Raw genomic sequence first — 21,021 nt, forward strand, 5'->3', positions numbered from 1 at the left:
ATAGCTATTTAGAGACAGAAATATTATAGTTATTTCAATGCTCAACTTTTGTATTTACTTGAACCTTGGTTTGTAGACTAGAAAAGGTCTTGAAAAGTCATCTTGCACATCTTACTTCTAATTAACACTGCATCTTGACCATTCCGGATAGATCTGTCCTATTTTTGTAAAATCCCAGTAATGGAATTCTATATTGTTTTTCAGTCATTTGTTTTCAGTGTAAAACAGTCCTCATAACAAAAATACATTACTTCCTATGGAACAGAAATAATTCTGAATGCAGTGACTCACATTTCCCAAGCCAGACCAACCAGGGGGTAAAATCTGTTCACAGAAGAGTAATAAAATGGTATTTCTCCACATCTGTTCCTGCAATATTAGGAATTCCAGTCTTACTCAAAACTCTACCAAATAGCTCTGAGAGTTCCCAGGACATTTCTTCTGTGTGTTCCATGGGTTAGTCCCGTCAGCTTTGAAGTTAGCATTTGCCATTTTCTTACTTTCCAGCTCTGGCTTCCTACAGCAGTGGCTGGTGTCAAGGCTGAACACTGGTTGTCACTCAATCAGAGTTGTCTCTGAAAACTGAGGCTTCAATCTAATGAATCCTCCTCATGCTTTAAATATCCCTGAAGTATTTTAGTAAAATATCACTTTCAGCTTTTCCTTGCTCTTTTCTTTGTAGAACCTTCTTCCTAGAGTTCAAGATTAGACCCCAGCTTTGGCTGAGAATAGCCTGAGTGATGGAGATGGTGTTTTGAGTGATTGATAGACATGCTATTTTCCTTTGAGCTACTCCTTACTGTTGACGTAGCTTAGTTTTTCTTGGGACTTTTATCCCTTGGTCCTTTCTGTGTTCAGTGAGTTCTTCCCCAGAAGTGTCCTGGTCTATATACAAATAGACTCTTGACTGCCTAGTCCGCCTCAGACAAACCCAGGTGTGTCTGGGTTTTGCAGTCTACATCACTGGCTCAGTCCTGGCTCAATTAAGACTACAACTTGAGTTCTAATTATACATACACAGAGAAAAAACAATCTCACCTATGGAGTAGAACCACCTTAAAATGAAAAAGGAAAACACATACCTATATGTACAGGCCCTGTCCTTTATCAGGCTCAGTCTGGTTTTATGAAGTTGTTACTGTTTTCCACATTTGACCTATAGTATCACCAAATCTGTGAAATCACAGATTGTATTTTTGGTACATTCTTTATAGTAATGCCAAAGAGGTGAACTACTACAGGCATGGACATTTGAGGAGGATTTCTAGTTGTCTCTGGCAAGCACCCAGTAAAGTGCCTGATAAGAGCCCAACACATATTTATTGAGTTGAGCTGCATGTCTGGCCTGAGTCACCCTCAGGCCTGACTTCAGATGCTGTAAGTTATTTGAAGAGTCTTCTTAATAAGTTGATCTCTGCAGTGTCTTTTCTCTTCATAAACTAACCCTAGTTCTAGTTTTTTCTCTAAGGTCTTGCTTGCTGCCTTTAATCATTTCCATGGCTGCCCTCTGAACCATTCCCATGTTCTCCGTGTCCTTTTCTGTAACAGCTGTGAGGCACAGATGTTAACGGCTGCTTTCTGACCCTCAGACTGGTGCTGAGCTTATGAGACTTTTAGGGACTTAACACTGACTCAACACTAGCTCTCAGTTTCATGGCCACCCTCATTGTGTGTGTGTGTGTGTGTGTGTGTGTGTGTGTGTGTGTGTGTGCGCTTTTCCATTCCCCTTATGAAACATCTCCTGCCCCTAACTTACTATGGGAACGTTCCTCCATGATCTCTTTCCATCCTCCCTTTCCTGTTTGCTCACTTCTTTTCTTGCTCATCTTGGAGACTGTGCAATCCCAGATTAACTACAAACAGAGAAGAGCTGGTGATAGCTCCAGAGCTCAGAGAAAGGAGGTCTCTTTACAAGAAGTCTGGCTCTCAAAGGTAAGCTCGGTCTTCTTGACCTGCCTTTTGCCATCTACCTCTCTCTTTGGATCTCCTGCCCCTGGGTCCCTGCTTGCCCTGCATTCTCCATACTCACGGAGAATCAGGACCTCCAGAACAGCCCAGCGTGGGCTTGGTCAGGAATGATCCAGGCTCTGAAGGGTTAAGGCTGGAGCCTGGATGGATGGAGAGGGTTATTAGTTATCGTTTGGAGAGTGGAGTGAAGGCTCCTCCCCTGTTGCCTACCCGCCCCTTTCACATGATCTCTGACTATAGCTGTGGAAGCGGGGAGAAGATAAAGGAGGGAAAAAAAAGTTCACAAAATAATTTAGAAAGTCCTTATAAATGCTTGTGTTTTCATTTAGCAGCATGAATCCAGGACAGCAACAGACCCTCAGAGGCAGCAGCCAACTGGGAATTGAGTGGAAAAAAATAGGAATCCTGGATTCTGGCAGTTTCCAGTTGTTTTCTTGGTGGGGGGAGCCGTGGTGGGAAGGGATTAAATCAAATCTTTCGGGGGAGAGCTCAGCTCTAGGCTTTCATGGTCAAAATACTAAAGGTCAGCTCCGCGTGTGTGCCCCAACTGTCCTGGAAGCTTCAATTGGAAAACTCCAAACTTTAAGTTTTGCTTATAGCTTCAGCTCAAGTAAGAAAAATGAGGTGTGGGGTAGGCGGCGGGGGGGTGGGGATCACAGGAAGGGGATCAAGTCTTAGATGGAGGGGAAGGAAGTGGAGATGGATATGGGTGGGAATAAGGCAGAAGGGAGCGGTGTCTTTAAGTCTGTCCTATGGTTATACATATTTTTTCTTCTATGAATGGGTTTTGCTGTAAATTATAGCTTTGCCCATAGTCCCTTGGGTCAAAAGAAATAGTCTCCAAACAGAAAACAGCTCTGATTGGTGACTTTCCTTCTTCCCTCCCCAACCCCCTTCCTAATTGAAACCAAATGTGCAATATATTGGATGCTGGGATCCCTGGCGCTTTCCCAGGAATCCTCAGAATGTGAGGTTTCTCTCAAAGGCATCTTGCATCAGCCTGTGGATGTATGCCTACCACCGGGCTCCTTCACCAGCAAAGTGGAAAAAGAAGCGTTTCACAACAAATTCTTCTTTTTGGGTTGGGGAAACGCAGTGGATTATAGCTCTGTTTTCTTCTTTCCAAAACTGTGCACCCCTGGATGAAAGTAAGTTATGTGGGTCTTTTTTCTTTATTATTTTTTCTTTTTTGAAAATGAAAGCTCCGCATATACTTCTTTTGGTGTTTCAGGAAAAGTTTTAAAAAGGAAACAGAAGGGCGTTTTAAGTCAGACAAGGAAGGGAACGTAATGAGGCACCACAGACTCGAGAAATCAGATCCCATGTTTTTGGGGGTCTGGATTTATGCTATGAAGGGAAGAATAAAGAGCAGTAATAACCAAAGAAGCCTGAAGCAAAATAAATGAATCTATAGCAGCTGCAAGATACAATAAACAGTGTTAGCAGAGTTGAAATTGTTGGCAGGCAAGACAGGCCGATTGCAGAGTTAGTTTCAGGATGAAGAAGGCAGAGCAGGAGAGCTAAGTTTTTAGACATTTAGTAGTGGTGTTAGAAGGTCCTGAGTTTTGGAGATAGTGTAGACCAAGCACTTTTTGTTTTTCAGGGGAGTTGCTGATTTACTTGTGAGAAGGGTAACTTTGGATGAGGGGTGGCTTCCCCCTGAGATTTGGGGTGGCTAGGGGGAGGCTGGGTGCATGGAAGATTTTTCAGTTGTGACAGTGAAATACAGCTTCCCAGACTCATCTCCTCGCTGGCTCTGGGTGCCTTTCCCTTTGTTATGGAATGACTGGGGCTGTTTTCATTTGGGACCTCTGAGTCCTGGCCTAGGTTCAAGAGTCCCATCCAAAGGGAAAGAGAACTGTTCCCAGTGGCTGAAACTCTCAGACCAGCCATTTGAGGCAAGAGTTCGTACTGTTCAAGCCAGTAGGGGGTTCAGCACCATTTTGCCGATCATTGGCTTCCTACAACACAGAGTTAAGAGTCCTGAAAAGGGCCTTAGGCCTCTCATCTAACCCCTTCGCTCCACAGATGTAAAAAATGATAGGAAGGGGACCGACCTGTTCAAGTCCCACAGCACATCTGTAGTGGAGCTGAAAATGAAATTGAGATTCTCTCTACTGCTAGTCCAGTGTTCTTTCCACTCCATACCTCTGCTTTCATTTCCTTTTTAAGGCTTATTCTGGCTGAGACAATAGAGGCAGTATGATGAGCAAGTCACCACAAGGACGTTAATTATCAGTAATAGAGAGGACGCCAATGGCGGCTCATCAGCTAATGATGTCTATGGTTATATTTGTGTGTGTGTGTAAAATAAAAAGAAGCTAAATTCTGAGTATTTTCTATGCAGCAGGCTCAAAATAATACATAATTCATGCTCAGAGCTCTTCATACATAATTTGATTGACTCTCACAGCTATGTAAGGCATTATTTCTATCGTACATGTAAGGACATTAACGCTTAGAGAAGCGAAATGAGTTGCTCAAGGAAAGGTAGCTAATACATTTGAAACTCATGTATATCTGACTCTAAAACCTATGCTTGGAATCACTATTCAATGATACTCCCCTCATCTCCCTTGCATTTGGTTACTTTTGGGGTCAAATTCCATATTTCACTGGCTGATCAGGAGGTGAAGGTGTCAGGCTATGGGAGCAGTATGGATTCTCTCTCAGAGGCCACTTCTGCACTTGGCTGAACATTTGTCTGGATATCAGATGTGGGGTTGATTTCTGGGTCTTTGGTATATACTTACCTTTGTTATGCAAAGAGCCTGGGACTTAGAGTCAGAAGATTCAGGATAAGTTCTGGCTCTACCTTTTACTACTTAGCAAAGTTGCTTTGCCTTTCTGCACCTTGACTTCTGTATTTATTATATGGGAACAATTGCAGTACCTTTCAGTGTGATTGCTGCAAGAGGTATTGGACATGCATGCATGCTGAAGGCTATCAAGGGCTTACCCATATCAGCTCTTTCGATTAGGATCGGTAAACACAGAACGTCATATGAGGCAGCCCCTGTGGTGCTGGGTCTGGCAGTTGGTGCTGATGCTGGCAGGAGGGCAGATGGATTTGGATGTGTGTGAAACTCTGAAATGGGTGGCCTCAGTCTTAGTGCCCATCTCCTTTGAATGGAAGCAGGCCTTCCTCCCTCCCGGGGGAATATTCCTGAGGGCTCTGTCTTAAATTCTGTCTCTTAAATTCTCCTCCACTGGCCTGGTTTGATATGATTCCTTGCCCAAAGCAGTGCAGGCTGAAGGACACTGTGCTTGGTGAAGCATCCCCTGTCTCTGAAAAGGAAGTGTTTAGTCAGGACCAGTCCCCTGATTGCTCCTCAGACAAGACTGACATTTGAGGAGCTTCGTATCTAGCTGAGGGCAGATCCTTGACCCAGGACCTTCTTGTCACTGGCAGGCACATCTCCCTTCATCCTTTCCCTGGCATTCCCTATTCTGTGCCTGCAGTCAGAAGGGAGGCTGCTGCTCCTGGGGTGGGGGTGGAGAGCCAGCCTGCAGTGGGGAGGCCTCAGCCTCTGTTTCTGGGTAAGATCCATTTGCTTTAGAAACCTTAAATGTAAGGGAAGTGGGTAAGGTGTTTCCGGAATGCCTTTCACTTAGATTCCTCAACAGAGTCTCCATGTCCAAGCACAGGACCTTATCACCTGCTTATTCTCCCCTAGCCACTCTGTGAACTCGCACTTTTCTTTCCTTCTTGTATAATTGCTCCCCAGTCTTGAAGTCATCTGAATTCTCTATCACACACAGTGAATTTACTTCAAACCTTTCCATGTATTTGCATTTTTAATAGACACATGAAAAAATTGGAGCGGCCACCCCCCATACATTCATGTCACACCATTTTCAATTCGCATGAGCTCTCAGATATCCTTCCCAAGCTCCCTTACAAGATCTGCTTTCAGGCACTTCACATCACCCTCACCTCAAACACACAATCCAAACACATGTCTCGCAGGCATCCAAAAAGCAAACACACGTCTAAAAGTGGACCTCCACAGACATGCTAACATTCTTGTGCCAGCTCACATAAATGGTGACCTGTCCGCAACACAGACACACTGGACTCTTTATACCTCTTGCCCTGTTTGAAGCTGTGCAACATATGAATTGATCGACTCTGTCCCAACAATGACTAGTCAGTCCAGAAATGTGTCCAGCATCCCCAGGCATCCCAGGGCTTCTCTGAATGCAGCAACCATCCATAATGAGGACTGTTCACCAGGAAATTAGAAACCCCAGGTAGACCTTAAAAGATTTTCAGACCAATCAAATCAGAATATCTGAGGTTGGAGATTGGGAATCAGTACTTTGAACTGCTCCCCAGGTGATTCTGATGTGAAACAGAATTAAGTACCTCTGCTGATAAATCTCCAACTGTGTTGTCTTTGGCAATTCAATTTTATTCCATTTGATTTAGTTCTATTCATCAAAGATTTAGTAACACTGTGCTAATAACATAGTTTAGTAAAGAAGCTGAGATGTCCAGATACCTGTCAAGGATATTTATTGGAACATCAATCACCTCGTGTCTAAAGTGATGATCTCTGTAAATTTTTCTCTCTTTTAATTATATTTGTATATGTTTAAATGTGCTATTATTAAGCCTGCATTATTCATGTACGATTTGGCTAAAAATGGTTCTCTTATTTTCTAATTGTTTTGCATAGATATATTTGATGTTTCCTAATTTTATAAACCCCAGCATTTGGCAAATTGTGTACTTATTAGCTGGAATCTTACTTTGGCTTTGAAATGCTGAAGAAGGTCAGTTTTGAGCCAGCCCAAGAGTTGCTAAGGCCTGGAAGGGCAATGCAAAGGTAGAGGAATTCTAAACATGGGTTTGGACTCACTACACAGCTCCTGAGTTTAGCTGGGCTTCTCCTGGAAATTGGATATTGTCTGTAATGGATCCACTCATTAAGTCGTCTGTGGCTTGTGATTTGTGCCTAAAAGAACCCCACAAAAATCTGTGAGGGGCCCTTTGGATCTATAGCTCCGAGGTTAGTGCTGGCTGGTGCTCTGTAGTGTGAGTGAGAGGGAGAGGGCATGTGATAAATAGAACTTCAGATGCGTGATGTAGTGAAAAGAACATGTAGTGAGGCTCTAGTCCCACCACCATCATTTTCTAGGGTTTCGACCTCAGAGGAGTTTTTTAACTTCATTGGTCCTCAATTTCCCCTTGAGTTTTTATCCCCTTCATTTGAGTTTAGATAAGATAATGTATAGGAAACTGGAAAGCACTGTACCTGTGAAGATGGTAGGTAATGCAAGATAATCCTTAGGGCCTTAATAGCTTAGGTAGCCAAAATAATTGAGATGGGAGATGGATTAAAAATGAGGGCAAATAATCTAGCATTTTTGCATTTTTTCCTTTTAAAATTTGAATGCTCTTATGAATCCAAAAAAACATGAAACAATACAAATCTCAGTGAACTCTCATGTCTAAGATAGTTTTCCACTGATTTTATTTTTCTCTTGAATAGTGGTGATTTAAAAAAAAATCGCAGGTATATTTTTTATCTATTAAAAATATCATAGCATCCTGGTAAACTCTGTCATAATTTTGTTTTGCTGTATTTATTTATTTACTCCTCAGTAAGTAGTTATTGGATGCCTAGTCTCTGCTGGACACTGTTCTATGTTTTATGATGAACAAACCCCATGAAGTTACAAGCATTTATAAGCATTCATTGCTTTAGGTTCTAGGGAGTATAATATGAATTTGACTGTGTGAAACTTGATTTAGAAAATTGGTATCCACATTGGGTTAATAAAATTTAGTTTTTAAAGTTTACTGAACTGTAATTTAAAAATAATACAGAAATAGTTATTAAATGGTGATTTTCAGTGGAGCAGGTGTTATGCCATAAATAGGACCCCAAATTTTATATTTTTTATAATTTTTAAAAATTATAGAGCAACTTTAGCTTTACAGAAAAACTGAGAACAAAATGCAGAGTTCTCATGAATTCCTTCTACCCTTTGCACAATTTCTCTATTATTACAACCTTGTATTAGTATTATGTTTTATTTGCTATCAGTTACTCAATGTGTATTTATTAAACATAACAAAATAATAAATAAATTTATTATTTATGCCCTATTTGTTATTATGAAAAGAATACATCATATTGCTGCCTCTCAAGCTGTTTATAATGTTATGTAGCTACAGTTTGAGGTTTCTCATTTATTAGAAAAATTTTTTTTCTGTGCACTTAGTGCATGCCTTATTCAGTGCTAGGGCTTAACACATTATCTGGACATAGTAGACATTTAATAAAATATCTGCTGAGTATACAGACAAATGAAATGAAGGATCCAGAAGTAAAAGACGCAATTCTTGTCCTTAGGAACTTAGGAAACAACAGACACACATAGCAGTGACTGGAGAAAATTTCAGAAATACATAAAATATGATTAAATCTCTGATAAAGGAGACATTGGTATAGGCAAATGAGGCATAAAGCCATTAACAAGAGCCCCATCCTCTTTTTCCTCCTTTTTGGGACTGTACTTTTTTTTAATTTTTTTTATTTGTTTGAGACGGAGTCTCACTCTGTCACCCAGGCTGGAGTGCAATGGTGCGATCTTGGCTCACTGCACCCTCTGCCTCCTGGGTTCAAGTGATTCTCCTGCCTCAGCCTCCTGAGTAGCTGGGATTACAGACACCCGCCACCAAGCCCAGCAAATTTTTGTATTTTTAGTAGAGTTGGGGTTTCACCAGGTTGGCCAGGCTGGTCTCAAACTCCTGACCTCAGGTGATCCACCTGCCTCGGCCTCCCAAAGTGTTGGGATTACAGGCATGAGCCACTGCGCCCGGCCTGGGACTGTACTTCTTATCATCACCATTGTCTTTGTTGCCATGGTCTTCATTATTATCATCATAATTATGGCTATCGTTCTATGTCTAAATCCAAGCATTAAAGAACAAACTCCCATATCCCCATGGTAAGGTTGGAGAAGTGCGTGCAAGTGTGTCTATGTGTGTTTTTGGCAATTTTAAAGTACAGTCACACCAATATATGCCACTTCCATTTCTTGCTGGAAGTAAAATGAGTGACTACTTGGGCTTTGTAAAAGAAAATCGCACTTTGGAAGTCCTTGTGGGAGCCATACCAAAATGCCTTGCAGTACTGTAACTTCTCAGAGGCATGTAAAAGTTAGAGGATTGGTGAAGTTTTCAAAAGCTACTGGCACTTGTCCTTCAGGATGAACCCTCTTGAGATGCAGGGGAGCAAATTGACCTCAATAAGAGAGTAGTGGGAGCTAAATTCACTCAAGAATAGCAATCTGTTCCTCAGACAGATGCAGTTGTAATTTTAGAATGTGTACATAACAGACAGTTTAAAATGGACATAATAACGCTAAAATAGTATCAATGGAAATTAAAAATAAGTCCTAATCCCAACCAAAATTCTAGCAAGTTGTTTTGTGGATATCAACGAACTGATTCTTTTTTTTTTTCTTTTTTCTTTTTCTATCTTTGAGACGGAGTCTTGCTCTGTTGCCCAGACTGGAGTGCAGTGGCGCAATCTCGGCTCAGTGCAACCTCCACCTCCCAGGTCCAAGTGATTCTCCTGTCTCAGCCTCCTGAGTAGCTGGGATTACAGACATGCACCACCATGACTGGCCTCAACCAGCTGATTCTAAAGTTTATATAGACAGTTAAAAGACCAGATTAGCTACTGCAATATTGAATGAGAACAAAGTCAAAGGACTGACAGTACCTGACTTCAAGGCTTACTGTAAAGCTCTGGTAATCAATACATTGTGGTACTGGTGAAAAAATAAACAAATAGATCAAGAAAACAGAATAGAGAGCCCAGATAGACCCATATAATGTAGCCAACTGTTCTTTGACAAAGGAGCAAAGGCAATCTGATGGAGAAAAGGTAGTATTTTCAACAAATGGTGCTGGAACAATTGGACATCCACATGCAAAAATAATGAATCTTAGGTATAAACCTTACATCCTTCACAAAAGCAACTCAAAGTGGATCATAGACCAAAATGTAAATGCAAAACAATGAAACTCATAGAAAATAACATAGGAAAAAATCTCAGTAATCTTGGATATTGTGATGACTTTTTAGTTACAGCACCAAAGGCACTATCTGTGAAAGAAATCCCTGATTAGCTGGACTTCATTAAAATTGTAAACTTCCACTCTGTGAAAGACAATGTCAAGAGAATGAGAATACAAACCACAGGTTGAGAAAAATACAGATGGTGCTGACTTAAAACGGTTCAACTTACGATTTTTCAACTTTACGACAGTGCAAAAGTGATACTCATTCAGTAGAAATAGTACTTCGAATTCTGAATTTCATTGGACAAAACTATGGAAACAGTAAAAACTATTCGTAGTTGCCAGGAATTAGGGGTGAGGGAGGGATAAATTGAACACAGAGGATTTTTAGGGTAGTGAAACTGTTCTGTGGTTACTACAATGGTGGATGTATGTCATTATACCTTTGTCAAAACCCATAGAATGTACAACACTGAGAGTGAACCCTAAGACAAACAATGTACTTTGGGTGAAATGATTTTTTTTTTTTTTTGAGATGAAGTCTTGCTCTGTCGCCCAGGCTGGAGTGCAGTGGTGTGATCTCGGCTCACTGCAACCTCTGCCTCCTGGGTTCAAGCGATTTTCCTGCCTCAGCCTCCTGAGTAGCTGGGATTACAGGCGTGTGCTATCACGCCCAACTAATTTTTGTATTTTTAGTACAGACAGGGTTTCACCATGTTGGCCAGGCTGGTTTCGAACTCCTGACCTCATGATCTGCCCCCCTCAGCCTCCCAACGTGCTGGGATTGCAAGTGTGAGCCACCGCGCCCAGCTGAAAATGATGTGTTGATATCACAGACCATTAGGTTTATTGATAGGCTTATTGATTGTAATAAATGTGCCAATGTCGTGAGGGATGTCAATAGTGAGGGAGGTTTTGTAGCAGAGGACAAGGGTGTATATGGGAACAATCTGTACTTTCTGCTTAATTTTGCTGTGAACCTACAACTGCTTTAAAAAGAATTAAAGTTTAATTTAAAAAATCTGCCCAATCTCCAAATTCTAATACTTTGATTCCATCTTGGCTACTTCTTTCTTATTTGAAGGCAGTCATTGTAATATAGTTATAATCATGAGCATCTGTATTTTAAAATGCTTAATTTTGTTTTTCAGATAAGTACCCTAAACTTAAATGATATTATTTTATTTATTAAAGCTACCTGAGGCAGAAATGTTTCAAAATCTTGAAAAAGACTAATTCAATAGGTTAATAGCAGATAAGTAGGTATTTTTGTGTCATACTCTTCAAATTATAATAACTATCACTTAAAGAATAGTCATTTTTGTTCGTTTGTGATCCTTCCACCTCAGCCCCTCGACTAGCTGGGACTATATGTGCGTACTACCACACCTGGCTAACTGTTGTTTTTTGTAGAGATGAGGTTTCACTATGTTCTTCAGGCAGGTCTCAAACTCCTGGGCTCAAGCAATCCTCCCACCTTGGCTTCTCAAAATGCTAGTATTACAAACATGAGCCACTGGACCCACCCTCATTGAGCTGTTTTAACTACAACTTGGTATGGTAGAAAGAGTGATGGGCCAAGGGTTAATAGGGTGAGATTCTAATTTTAACTTTGCCACCTACAAGCAGTGGGACTTTGTGCAACAATGTTTTAAATCTTTCTGCATTTAAATTTTTCTCATCTGTAAAGGGCAATATACAATTTCTGTATTCTCCAGTTCAGTTATGCTAATCGCTGTCCTGTCAGCACCCACATCCCCATATTCACTTTCACAGATAAGACTTGAGTCGCTATGATCTTCACCCTAGTTGTCACCCTGTCCCCATACTCTCTGAATATGCTCCTCTCTCCTCTCATTTTAGCCAAATACCACTCTTCTTTGAAGGCCAGCTTAAGTTTCAGATCCTCCATCCATCCCAGATCTTCTTGGAATCCCTAGTTCTTTTGGTCAGTATCACTTAGTTTAGCAAAGACCATGTCTTAGGTGATTGCTCTAACTCACCTTATAGCATTAACCCATAAGTGAGTACTTACTGAACTCTCACTGTATATTAGATTAAGGGCTTATTTTATATGCCTGGCACAGTTCTTATTTGTTGTTGGAAAAATTTTTAGAGGGCAGTAATTGAAATGTCATATACTATAGTCTTTGAGGATGGAAAAGAGCTCAGTAAGTTTCTATTAATTGGTTATGCCGTTAAGATCAGCATCTAAAGAGAGCTAGGTCATGGAAAAAATGGCCTAAGTACTGGACTTACTATCAGAAGTACTGGACTTAAATTTTAATTCTTATGATTTGTGAACATTGTAGAAATATACTAATGTCTTTGTGAGTACAGATAAGGAGGAACAGATAAGCTTATGTGAAAACTCGGTTTGTATTGGGTCTATATTATATACAGGGCTATTTTATTTTATTTATATTTATTTATTTATTTTTGAGACAGAGTCTCTCCCTGTCGCCCAGGCTAGAGTGCAGTGGCGGGATCTCGGATCACTGCAACCTCTGCCTCCTGGGTTCAAGCCATTCTCCATCCTCCTGCCTCAGCCTCCGAAGTAGCTGGGATTACAGGCACCCACACCACGCCCAGCTAATTTTTGTATTTTTAGTAGAGACAGGGTTTCACCATGTTGGCCAGGCTGGTCTTGAACTCCTGACCTCAGGTGATCCACCCGCCATGGCTTCCCAAAGTGTTGGGATTACAGGCGTAAGCCACCATGCCTGGCCTATTTTATTTATTTATCTATCTATCTATTTTTTGAGGTGGAATTTCGCTCTTGTTTCCCAGGCTGGAGTGCAATGGCGCCATCCTGGCTCACCACAACCTCCACCTCCCAGGTTCAAGCGATTGTCCTGCCTCAGCCTCCCGAGTAGCTGGGATTACAGGCATGCGTCACCATGCCCGGCTAATTTTCTGTGTTTTTTTTTTTTTTTTCTTTCAGTAGAGATGGGGTTTTTTCATGTTGATTAGGCTGGTCTTGAATTCTCGACCTCAGGTGATCTACCCGCCTCAGCCTCCCAAAATGCTGGGATTACAGGCGTGAGCCACCGTGCCTGGCCTGTTTTATTTTATTTTAACAACAAATAGAAGGTGGTTATTCCAGGAGGGTTTCAGAATACTACCCCAGATTTGGTTTCTCCTGGTTTGACTACAGGCAGTGCTGGTGTCTTTCTCTTGATCATACTCCTTTCCTCATGGGTGTGTTCAGTCCTCTGATGATAGAAGTGCTTACCTTTATTTAACCTTTCCCTCTCTCACTGAGTGTTCTCTCTTTCCTGAAATACTTTTCATTTGTTAAAGCTTTTAAGAAATTCTTATTTGAACATTCAGTGTTATGTAAAAAACAAATTAACTGCTGCTTAATATCATGTTTGGAGGTGAAAAATTTTCTAAGCCTTTTGCTTAGCCATTTATTACCAAAGGGGTATCAAGCTTGGATGTCAAGCTAGGATGTAAATTCTAGACCTATACAATTCCTTCAAGGGCGGCTGAAAAGTTGCTTTCTAATCCTTTTGCTATATTTTGGTGGCAAGCTTTGTTTTCACAGTTTAAAGAGGATTGATGGTTTTCCTATTGTCTTTCCTTCACAACTTTCTGAAGTTCACTTGCCTGTTTCATTTTCATGACTTAAGGTACCAGCTTCTTCTGCCCCTCTCCTAGATCCACCAGCGCCCCCCATGCTCCAGAAAAATTGAGCTACACTGTGCCTTTCCCTGAGCTGTAGAAAGTTCCACCTCTAGGTTTCCAGGTGCTTCTGATCATCATTTTTCAATGGATTGAGTTGCCAACATCTACAAAATATATTCTAACAAAGATGCTCAGAATGTCTGGTGTTGACCTATCTATACAGGTAAACTTCAATGACTCTGCATTTCCCTTTCACTGCTGACCTCATGCCTTTTGCAGAAGTAATATAGGAAAGAAGAGCATTGAAATAGGGCAGAAGATCTAATTTTCTTTTTCTTTCTTGAGATGGAGTCTCGCTCTGTCACCCAGGCTGGAGTGCAGAGGCTCGGTCTTGGCTCACTGTAACTCCGCCTCCCCGGCTCAGGTGATTCTCCTGCCTCAGCCTTCCGAGTAGCTGGGATTACAGGCACCCACCACCATGCCCAGCTAATTTTTGTATTTTTAGTAGAGACGAAGCTTTGCCCTGTTGGCCAGTCTGGTCTCGAACTCCTGACCTCAGGTGATCCACCTGCCTCGGCCTCCCAAAGTGCTGGGATTACAGGTGTGAGCCACTGCACCCGGCCAGAAGATCTAATTTTCTAACTTACAATGTACTCGAATATTGAAAGGAATTTCATATTTTTAGAACTAAGCCCTCATTGGGGTTGGGTACGGTTAGGGCAAGGAGAAGCCTGGGAAGGAGTTCTTGGGTAGTTAAATTGGAAAAAGAGAGTCTGGCACATTCAGAATGGCTCCATATTTGTTACCCGCAGACTGTACATAAGAAATGAGACCTGGCTATTAAGAGATATGATGCCTGTGAAAACCCTGGATACACTTGCAACTTGCTTTTTCCCAAGTGTTTAGGACTCTAGTAGGGACACCTCCAGTTCCTTTTGGAAATAAGCTAATATTTGGTTTCCAAAAATGTATTGAAGTAGTCTTAATGAGACAAATAGAAAATAGAAATTTGATTGAATGTTCTTACATTCTTAAAAATGCTACTTTTTAGCATTTTTAAAAATAATGAAGTACATGTTGGGGTGGGAGTGGAGAAGAGACTGTAATATTTCTGTATCTGAAGCCTCCATAAGGTCTTAATCCAGCCCTCCATAGGAACATAAGCCATAATTGTCATCTACAACTTGTTCCTAAATTTACTCAGCTACAGTTTCTCAGAGCTATTGAGGGAAGTACTACGATGCTATTTAAAAATACTTTCAAATCCATCCTTATGATGATGAAGTTATTATAGTTACAAATGCATGATTCAGCAATAGGCATTAGGAAAACATATCCACCAGACAGCCTGATGATCATGGTGTATGACACTTTCTTCTGAATACATGAGGGTTAGATGAAAGTGGTGACAAACGATTGAGATATCTAGATCCACATTATTTACCTTTTTTTTTTTTTTGAGACAGAGTCTCGCTCTGTTGCCCAGGCTGGATTGCAATGACACACTTGGCTTATTGCAACCTCTGCCTCCTGGGTTCAAGTGATTCTCCTGCCTCAGCCTCCTGAATAGCTGGGATTACAGGCATGCACTACCACACCTGGCTAATTTTGTATTTTTAGCAGACAGGGGGTTTCACTCTGTTGGCCAGGCTGGTCTCGAACTCCTGACCTCAGGTTATCTGCCCACCTCAGCCTCCCAAAGTGCTGGGATTACAGGCATGAGTCACCACGCCCAGCCAACCACACTTCTTAAGGCTAGATAAATACATAGCTTTAAGTGTAGAGTAAATGGTGTCTCACTTGCAAAGAAGAGGATCTCTTGGTCCTCTCCTTTCCCCAACCCCAAATAATGGCTTTGCTATTGGCAATGTAAGGTGGGTCGGAAAGTTTGTGAAGCAATGGCCAAGGGCCTTATGGAACAGGCATACTGCAGGGGTGGCGTGGTCATAAGTTGCTGATGAAGCAGATTCTCTGTCACTCATGCCTGGTGAACAGGCGGGGACTCCCTTCTTCAAGAGAGACAGGTGATGATAGAAGAGTAGACAGCCCTGAACAAACCTTTCCTCAGGATTGTCCCTTTTGGTATTACTCAGACCTGAATAATACATGGACATGTTTTATAGGGAATTTTTTTTCAGCTTTTTGGGTGATCTATTATTAGGATCTTATTAAAATATGTATAATTTTAAAACTAGGTATACACTTCTTATGCTTATAGTTCTTATGCAACTATAGAGCCAAAACAAATTAATAAATGAAATCAACTATATCTGAGCAGACCTCAGGATTTGAGAGAGAGAGAGAAAAAGAAATCAAATATAACTATGAAACCCAATAAAATTTAAATTATTTTAATGTGATAGATAATGTGGTTTTGTTGAAACTAATCACTAGTGTGGAACTTAAAGATAGACACAGTAGAACCATGTATCCTCAGGGTCTGGTCTATGTTTAAATCTGTTATTTAAATGTATTAATTTCATGCAAAGCATGCCTGTTAGTGTAAGTATGTTGAACAAATTGTTATTAATAGCTTTGAGGGTTCATAAGTTCAGGAAAATAAGATCTTAACCCAAACTCTGTAGTAAGCAATCATCGAATGTCAGTTTCTATGAGGTGTCATTTGATAATTTTTTAAATTGTTTACTCACTTGAAGATAGGGTTAGCATTGTGTTGATATTAAAATTGGTACTAAATGGATATCTAATCCATTTACTAACAGAATCAGGGACAGAACCATTCTTCTTTGTGTGTTTATGCCTCAAGTTTCTGCTTATAAGCTGGTATGTGTTAGTATGTAAAAAGCCAAAGTCCCCATAGCACATCTGCTCACAGCGTGAAGATGGCATCGAATCCTATGGCTGAGTAGATTGAACTGCCTCATGCCATGCAACGACTCAGTTTTCCCAACATTTCCTCTATGTCCAGATTGATCCTTGACTTCATCTGGCTTTCACTGGGCATTTGTGCAATTGTAAACACCAATGAAAAGCCAGGCAGTGAAATTGCATGATGGTTACTGCTTGTATTAAAATGTTAAATTATAATCGAAGACAGAAAATTTTTTAAATCCTAGAACTCTTGTGGACTGCAAGATATTTATCCTTTGAGACAAACTGCTTTAAAATTAAATTTGGGCTCCACGGTTCTCAGGAAAACTTTTCTCATTTGTGGTCTTTCCTTTAAGTTCCATTAATAATTAAAAATGACAATTGTGAGGACTTCTGAGTAATGAGTGTTTATTATGCTCTAAAATTTAAGATAAGCACTTTACATATGTAATCTCATGAAAACCTTGTAATTGGTGTGAGGTGAGTGCTTTGGCTATTTTACATGTGAGGACACATGACACCAAGAAAAGGTCAATCACATGACAAGTAAGTGGCAGCAGCGGAATTTGAACCTATATCTTTCTCATTGCAACGCCCAAGCCTTACACACTAAAGCCTCTTCTTATGTCTCCATTTCACATTGTGAAAACCTGTTTAACTGCAACTAGGAACCAGTGCTCTACAATTATCCTCTTACATTCCTGTCTTTTCCATTGGGCCAGTGGGTCTCAATCTTTAATATGCATCAGAATCACCTGGAGTGCTTTTTGAAAAATGCAGGTCCCAGATGCCACTCCGAATTTACTGAATAAGAAATTGTCTGTGCAAATGTCCAGGGGGCCTGAATCTTTTAAAACAACCTCCCTCAGGTGATTCTGTTGCAGGTGTCTGTCTGATCACATTTTGTGTAAAACTGCATTAGACTGTGGATGCCTCAAGAACCATGACTTTTGAAAAAATCCATCCTTGTACCTCAAGGACTCACTCACTAAATGCTTGTCAAATAAGTAAAAGAATGAATGAAGGGGCAATTGTCAAGAAAGATGTGTTCTTGGGAAGAATACGCTTTTGGCCAGACCCTTGGAAAATTTAGAGATGCATGTTTAAATATCACTTAATATACTCGGTCTAGACTCTCCTTCCTGGAGGCCAAGCATGGCAAAGAGCCGATGAGAGGGTGGTAGAAAGTACAAATCTATCTATAAAAAAAAGAATGAAAATGCTCCTGACCATCCAGGATGAGATAGAATAAATCTTCCCCTGCGTTTCTAAAACTAAAGTCAATTGAACTAGAAATATTTAAATGCACTTGAGGCCCAGAAAGAGATTCATTTCCTTAATGTTTTGTGGACTTGACGTTTTCTACTTAAATCATAGCTCTAAGGTCAATATGGATTTGTTACCGGCAAGGGGTCCCAATCTACACCCCAAGAGAGGGTTCTTAGACCTCACGTGAGAAAGAGTTCTGGGCAAGTCTATAAAGTGAAAGCAAGTTTATTAGAGAAGGAAAGAAACAAAAGAATGGCTACTCCATAGGCAGAGCAGTGGCATGAGCTGCTCAATTGGGTATACTTGTAGTTATTTCTTGATTATATGCTAAATAAGGAGTGGATAATTCGTGAGTTTTCTGGAAAAGGGGCAGGGATTTCCTTTGGAACTGAGGATCCCTACCCTTTTTAGACTATATGAGGTAACTTCCAGATGTTGCCATGGCATTTGTAAACTGTTATAGCGCTGGTGGGAATGTCTTTTAGCATGTTAATGCATTATAATTAGCGTCTAATGAGCAGTGAGGATGACCACAGGTCACTTTCATCACCATCTTGGTTTTGGTGGGATTTGGTAGGTTTCTTTACTGCATCCTGCTTTATCAGCAGGGTCTTTGTGACCTGTATGTGTCTTGTGCCAACGTCCTGTCTCATCCTGGGACTAAGAATGCCTTAACCTCCTGGGAATGCCACCCAGCAGGTCTCAGTCTCATTTTACCCAGTCCCTATTCAAGATGGAGTTGCTCTGGTTCAAATGCCTCTGACAGATTCATTCCTGTATTTAGCAAGAGGTTTTTTCCTTTTTTTTTTTTTTGAGTACTTACTAAGAGTCTTGTATTTAATAAGACATAGTCCTTTCCCTTTCTGAGTTTATTTTCAGTTAGAAAATTCCGGGAGCAGTAAAAGAGCAATGCAAGTAAATGGGGGGCTAGTTGCTCAGAATCTGCAAATGTAAGAGTGCATGGAAGGGTTTGTATAGCCAGGGGACTGGTGCTGGATGCTGCAAATTGAATAAGAATTGGAATAAATTGGATAGCCAGGTAGCAAAGAGCAGTGGAACAGACACTTGGCAGTCAGATTGCTTATGGCTGGCTGGTTCAGTTAACAGTGAGGACAGGAGCCTAGGGTGGTGGGATATTTGCCTTGGGGAGCATGGGGAAATAACATTGCATAGATGGGTTTTCTGACATTAAATAGAGCTTTGGATGTTGTGGAATTTTGAACATTTCCTTTATCTGAAAGCCGGTGAAGTGTTGTCTTAAGATGTGACAGCAGTATGTAAGCAAATTGCAGGGGATAAGAAATCAAGTCAGGGAGACCCATTAGAGGGCTGCATTCTCAGAACAAGGAGCACTGAGGAAAAAATTAAAAAACAAACAAACAAAAACAAAAAAAGAAGGTTGCTTTCGGTAGTCCAGATGTGAAGGGACAGGGTTTAGACCAGGGTGGTGGAGTGCAGAAAGAAAAGCCAGAGGGATGTGGAAGGACAAGATGGCATGACCACGAATGGTGGCAAAGGCAGCGTGGAACAAGCACATCAGCTGATGTGGAATGTATGAGAACAAAAACACTCATTTTCCCACCAGAACCCTTAGTAGGAGAAAGTGCCTTAAGCTTACAGTGAGGATTCCAAATTGAAATTGCTCAGTAGCTGTTTCACCCTTTGTTACTGGCAGAGCAGATGGCTCTGGAAGAGACTAGGACTACTTGTTGCTTCTCTTTCCCATCTCTCACCACTCCCCAACCTTATCCCATAGTGAGGACCACTCACTAGTGACATTTCTGCTTGAGACCTACAAAGCAAGTCTTGCTAATGAGACTTAGGCACTTTTTCCCAAAGTGCAATTCTTGGAAATCTGTGGGTTTTAAGTAGATTACAGGGCCACAGTTCCGTGGTCAAATTAGTTCAAAAAATATTGTTAGAGAATTAAGCAAGTTTCTTTACTGCAGGATGTCCCACAGTCTTTAATATGGTAATCAACATTTTGACTATCCAAGAGAGGGCGAGCTTAGAGCACTCCACAAACTTTTTGGATCATGGAGCTCTTTTTAAAAGAAGCACCTTGAGAGAAGAGGATGGCACAGCATATATTTAAAGAAATTAGGGACTAGAAAGTTTGTCTCTTGCACTAGAGGTTGGTAGTGTCATGCAAAGAAACAAGAGTTGGGATTTGGGTCCAGGCTTTGCCACTAACTGGTGATCTTGGGTAAGTCATTGAATGTCTCTGAGCCTCAGTTTCCCCAGGGGTTATGTTCATTCTAAATGAACTCTTCAGCTCCTTTCAAAAGTCTGTCTTCATATTCAAAAAGGAAAATAATCTGCAATTTCTCTACTCTGCAATAACTCTGGTGGTGGAGGCAGTGGTAGGAAAAGAGAGAGTAGAGCGGACAGTGACAAGAAGATGAATAAGATACGGTCTGAACCCCTGCACTGATTAGACTGTTGGGCACAATTACAGTGCTGGGCTGATGTAACAAAGATAAATGAAGTTTGTAGTGTGTTCTCAAGCTTCTCTGACTCCAACCACATCATGTGATATACAGCAACTAGTTCAGTTGCTAAGCAACACTAATTCCCAATGGTCACTTAATCCATCTAGTCTCAGTTCTGCTACTAAGAAGCTGTGAGGCCTTGGATAAATCAGTTAACCCTTTGGGTTTGGGTTTTCTTCATCCGTAAAATAAGGAAGTTGGGTTAGGTCTGGAACCATTTTTAAGTTGACCTGAGTCTTACCTGGAAGAAGGTAAAGGAAACACAGCTATTCTCCTCTCACCCACCCCATGCAGATGAGCCCCAACATTCTGTCTTCGCTTTTCTTCTCTTCCTTCCTCCTGGATCACTTAATCTGTCTCAGACTTTAATTATTGCATTTATGTAGTTGAAGTTCAAATGTGGATCTCTAAGACCAACCCTTCTCTTGAATGCCAAAATCAAGATGTGTCTACCTGTTTTCATTCTAAGGAAACCAAATTACTTATGTTTCAAACCAAACTCACAATCTCCCCTTACAAACCAATTCCTCCTCCACGTTAAAAAAAAAATAATAATAATAACAGGCCAGGTGTGGTGGCTCACGCCTGTAATCCCAACATTTTGGGAGGCCAAGGAAGGCAGATCACTTGAGGTCAGGAGTTCGAGAACAGCCTGGCCAACATGGTGAAAGCCCATCTCTACTAAAAGTACAAAAATTAGCAGGGTAGGGTGGTGCGCACCTGTAATCTCAGCTACTCAGGAGGCTGAGGCAGGAGAATCGCTTGAACCTGGGAGGCAGAGGTTGC

The 21,021-nt window shown here is 41.0% G+C and overlaps 1 protein-coding gene across 8 annotated transcripts in view, besides 2 other annotated features; it reads left to right on the top strand.

Annotated features, from left to right (window-relative positions):
• Positions 1,227 to 1,406: an enhancer, noted in NCBI's record as "active region_2010". NCBI's record gives its function as "activates an Ori minimal core promoter by ATAC-STARR-seq in GM12878 lymphoblastoid cells {active_cell/tissue: GM12878}" and the evidence as "EXISTENCE:reporter gene assay evidence [ECO:0000049][PMID:35858748]".
• Positions 1,348 to 21,021, top strand: part of DDR2 (discoidin domain receptor tyrosine kinase 2) — a 156,543-nt gene continuing 136,869 nt past the window's right edge. For 4 of the 8 annotated variants that reach the window (NM_001014796.3, NM_006182.4, XM_047421565.1 and 1 more), the window contains exon 1: positions 2,949 to 3,116. The gene's annotated coding sequence lies outside the window, so the exon portion shown is untranslated. Of the gene's footprint in view, positions 1,933 to 2,459; positions 2,579 to 2,948; positions 3,117 to 21,021 lie in introns of those variants that run through there. The other 4 variants (XM_011509587.3, NM_001354982.2, XM_047421554.1 and 1 more) reach the window with 3 other exon arrangements.
• Positions 1,697 to 1,796: an enhancer, noted in NCBI's record as "active region_2011". NCBI's record gives its function as "activates an Ori minimal core promoter by ATAC-STARR-seq in GM12878 lymphoblastoid cells {active_cell/tissue: GM12878}" and the evidence as "EXISTENCE:reporter gene assay evidence [ECO:0000049][PMID:35858748]".

This window comes from Homo sapiens, chromosome 1 (assembly GCF_000001405.40).
Source record: "Homo sapiens chromosome 1, GRCh38.p14 Primary Assembly".
Lineage (NCBI taxonomy): Eukaryota > Metazoa > Chordata > Mammalia > Primates > Hominidae > Homo > Homo sapiens.